The sequence below is a fragment of the Homo sapiens genome, chromosome 5, assembly GCF_000001405.40.
Source record: "Homo sapiens chromosome 5, GRCh38.p14 Primary Assembly".
Lineage (NCBI taxonomy): Eukaryota > Metazoa > Chordata > Mammalia > Primates > Hominidae > Homo > Homo sapiens.
Genome location: NC_000005.10, coordinates 130,205,645 through 130,210,056, shown reverse-complemented (window position 1 = coordinate 130,210,056; position 4,412 = coordinate 130,205,645). Strand labels below are relative to the sequence as shown.

Here is a 4,412-nt window from a genome sequence, read left to right as displayed (position 1 = left end):
CTGAGGCAGGAGGATCACTTGGGCTCAGGAGTTTGAGGCTTCAGTGAGCTATGATTGCAACCACTGCACTCCAGCCTGTGTGACAGAGCTAAGAGGGAGACCCTGTCTAAAGAATCTTCTTAGAGATGCCTCAAAGTAAAGAATATAAAATACAGTGTAGGATGGAGACAGTCTAGAGGAAGAAGAAAGATTATGGAGAGATATAATTGTAAGGTTAAACAAAGTATACAATAACTATGTATAAAATATTAAACTGTTCATTTGGAGGCTAGAAGAAAAAGCTCCTGATGAGAGACAATCTTGTTTGAGGACAGTAAAAGGGAAAAATAAATGTATGAAGAAAGGAATGGCATTCAAAGAGATCAATGGAGGGGAAGCATAAAATTGCAGTAACTTTTTGTATAGATAAAAAAAAACACTCAAGAAAAGGAGAGAAACCACGAAGAAATGGGAGAATTCAGATGACAACTTAAATGGTGAGAATGAATAAGTGGGTATTTATATTGAATCGAAAGCTGGGATGTTGGGAATGGAAAGATGAATAGTTGTATATAGATATGTTGTTCAGTGGATCAACATAACAAGTTTATAATCCATAAATTATTTATTAGGGATACAATATACCTCATGAGGACAGTGAAGAATTAATTCATTCTACAAACTTTCACCGAGTCCCTACTATGCACTAGGCCCTTTGCTAAATCCTAAGAGTAAAGAAAGAAATAAAATGTTGTAAGAATTTTAATGCATAGGGTTACTTGCTAATAGGCTGAATGTTTATGGACTCCCAAAATCCATATGTTGCAGTCTTAACTCCCAAGGCAATGGTATTAGGAGGTGGGGTCCTTGGCAGACAATTAGGTCATGAGGGCAGGGATTAGTGCCCTTATAAAAGAGACTCCAAAAAGCTGCCCTACCTTTTTCCCCACGGAGGTTATAATGGCAAGACAGCTGTCTACGAGGAAGTGGGCCCTAACTAGACACAAAGTCTGTCAGCACCTTTATCTTAAACTTTTCAGCCTCCAGAACTCAGAGAAAAAAATCTGTTGTTTATAAGTCACCCAGTTTGCGGTGTTTTATAATAGCAGCCCAAAGGGACTGTGATTCTTTAAGAAAACAAACAACGATCAGATAGGAAGGAAAGTGGGTCAAATTGGAAAGAACAAAAATAGCTTTTAAGAGTCTCCCCCCCACCATTTATTTGCTAACTCATTCAATATTTAACAATTCCATATGATAGTTCCTAATAGCATCTTGAAGAATGAATAGTGGTTGTTTAGGAGACAATGAAGGAAAGAAGAAATTGAAAAGGTTATGTGGTCACTTGGTAAGTAGCTGGAATAAAGATGGATTGAGTTTACTGACTAACTTACTCCCTCAAGAAAAGGACGAATTGCTTGAGAAAGAAATTATAGATAGGAAAAAATCTATATACAGTTAAGCCTTGAACAAAGTGGGTTTTTTAACTAAATGGTTCCACTTATATGGATATTTTCTCCTGCCTCTGCCACCTCTGAGACAGCAAGACCAACCCCTCCTTCTTATCCTCCTCAGCCTACTTAATGTGGAGATGATGAGGTTAAAGACCTTTAGGATGATCTACTTTGACTTAATGAATAGAAGATGGTTTTTTAATGATTTTTTTAATAACATTTTCCATTCTCTAGCTTACTGTATTACAAGAATACGGTCTATAATGCATATAACATATAAAATATGTATTAATTGACTTTTTTATGTTATGAATAAGGCTTCTGGTCAATAGTAGTCTGTTAATTACGTTTTGGGGGAGTCAAAAGTTACTCATCGATTTTTGACTGTGTGGCTGGTTGGCACCCTAGACCCCTGTGTTGTTCAAGAGTCAACTGTATACACACACACACACACACATACGTAGTCAACTTCATATAATTCAAGTCAACTGTATACACATACAACTGTATACACATACATATGTACTTGTATACAGTTGACTCTTGAACTATATACAGTTGGCTCAACTCTTTCCCCCACCTATCTATATATATATACATGAAAGTGTATATATATATATGGGTATCATAATAAAGCAAGCATTATACTGTTTTTAAATTAACATGAATAATAATTGGGAAGGAAGATAGAAAACAATGTGTTGTTATGCTTGCTCTATATTCTCCCTTTGCTCCTCTAGGATTCTGCTCTTCTCTTCCTGGTCTTTCCACCACAAGCTGACATTTAGGTGCTACAACTATATTTCTTTCCTTCTGTCTTTGGCAGGTTTCAACCAATAGCAGGAACTAGCATCAGTCTGGGTAGTGGCAGAAAATAATTAGGGGAATATTTAGTCCCGTAGTTCCCTCCCTGTGACGATATGGTTTGACAATGGCTATGTTCTTCTATCTAAGGCCATAGCCACTTCTTACCATTCTCTCCTTCAGAGTGATAGATTTTTATAAAGACTGATAAAAGAAGAAGTGGCAAGATTTTTAAATTAAACTTGTCATGACTTTTGCCTCACTACACAATACATTGGAATTTAGAACATCTCAACACAGGCAATAATTGCCTCATTCTTCATCCACCTTGAGGCCTTTAAAGAAGACACTATCTTGGGAGGCCAAGGCGGGCGGATCACGAGGTCAAGAGATGGAGACCATCCTGGCCAACCAACATGGTGAAACCCCGTCTCTATTAAAACTACAAAAATTAGCTGAGCTTAGTGGTGCAAATCTGTAATCCCAGCTACTCAGGAGGCTGAGGCAGGAGAATCGCTTGAACTCAGGAGGCAGAGGTTGCAGTGAGCCCAGATCGCGCCACTACACTCCATCCCAGAACAAAACTCTGTCTCAAAAAAACAAACAAACAAACAAAACAAAACAAAACAAAAAAACAAAAAAACCCCACTATCTTGGGCACATCAGCTTTATAAAAACAAATTTAGAGAATTTGAGGATCTCAAAATGAATCCCTTAATATTTACCCTGTGTTCATGCTCTTTCAAAGTCTGAATACAATGCTAGTAGTTCACAAAGCCCATTTCTAGCTATTGTGACCTGCCTGTGATTTGTGAACATTCCTACAATTATTAAAATAGCATAGCTGCTCTCTCTTCTTTAAAAAACAATCACTTCACCCTTTACCTAGAGATAATTCCCCCTTGCATCATCACCTATAGTGGGCTTACCTCAACCATCTCCATATTTGGTAAACAGTTCCTTCCTTAAACATTTTTCATTCTTGCATTCTGAGTGTGCCATCTCCTTCCTGTCAGAAACCTGATTGTTAGGGCTATGTATTGAGATTTTAATCGTGTTCTCATGCTTCTTTACACTGTTAATCTATCCCACTATTCAGGGAGCATAGCGTTGTATATGCATTGATTGGAAAGGGAAATATGGCTAGAACAAAGAAGTTAATTAAACCCTCAATAGAAATGACACTCTTAAAAACCACAGCTCTCAATTTCAAGAGCCAGAGAAAAGGGTTTCTTGAATTCCATGTGATTGACTTCTCATATGAAATTTCAAAGCCAGGAGATCTATAAATATAGGGTTAATAACACAAATTATAAAATATAAAAATACTACAAATGAGAATTTCAGAAGTTTTTCTGCCAGTGTGGAGCGGGGCAAACTTTTGTTGAATTACAGGAGGAGGAGGTGGTATCTAGGAGACAGAATTCTGCTGGAAGTAGAAAAGAACATTAATACAAATGTGAAATGTCTAGGTTCTGCTCTCCACTGGGCTGAGATCCCAGGGTCAGGCTGAAATATCACATACATTTGGGTGAATCTGAGAAGTGACAGACTTGTTTGTTCTTCACTTTGTGTAGAATTAAGAAGGTTCTTGTGCCTTAGAAGCAAGTGCATCTAACCAGTACCCAAGCAATGGCTGAGGGAATGGTTTAGGCAAATGGTTCACAGAGTAGATTCCTAGAGTCCTATGTACTTCACAGTAGTGAAAGAGAGCATCAGACCAGTGTTCTAAGAGAGAAACAGATACCGCTAAGCAAGGAGAGCAAAGAGAATACAGGTTACAAGGATCTGATCCCTGTAGATTATTAGCGAAATCTACTGGTTTAGGATGACAGAGACTGGGTAAGATGCTGTTCCTCAACAAAAGCCAGAAGCAAGGCCATACTGTGGTATGGTGGTGTAATAACTGTCTCCTAGCTCCAGTATGGTAATTGGTACATTAGATGCTGGGTATAAAACCAAGGAGATGGAATGAGAAGGAGGAGGGTGGAAATCTGGGTTAGACTGGATGTTATCCAAAATGACTGAATTCTAAACACACATGACAGAGTTACTTGAATTGGCATGTTTAACTTTTTTATCATTAGCAGAAATTGAAGTATATGATCTATATAATTGATTTTATAAAGAAATAAGTTTCATCTTTGTATTTCTGAATATTGCAGATGGTAGTAA

The 4,412-nt window shown here is 37.6% G+C and overlaps 1 annotated feature.

The window, feature by feature from the left end:
• Positions 2,585 to 3,784: an enhancer, noted in NCBI's record as "P300/CBP strongly-dependent group 1 enhancer chr5:129541966-129543165 (GRCh37/hg19 assembly coordinates)". NCBI's record gives its function as "activates an origin of replication core promoter dependent on BRD2, BRD4, P300/CBP, MED14 and CDK7 cofactors, with strong dependence on P300/CBP, by STARR-seq in HCT116 cells {active_cell/tissue: HCT116}" and the evidence as "EXISTENCE:reporter gene assay evidence [ECO:0000049][PMID:35650434]".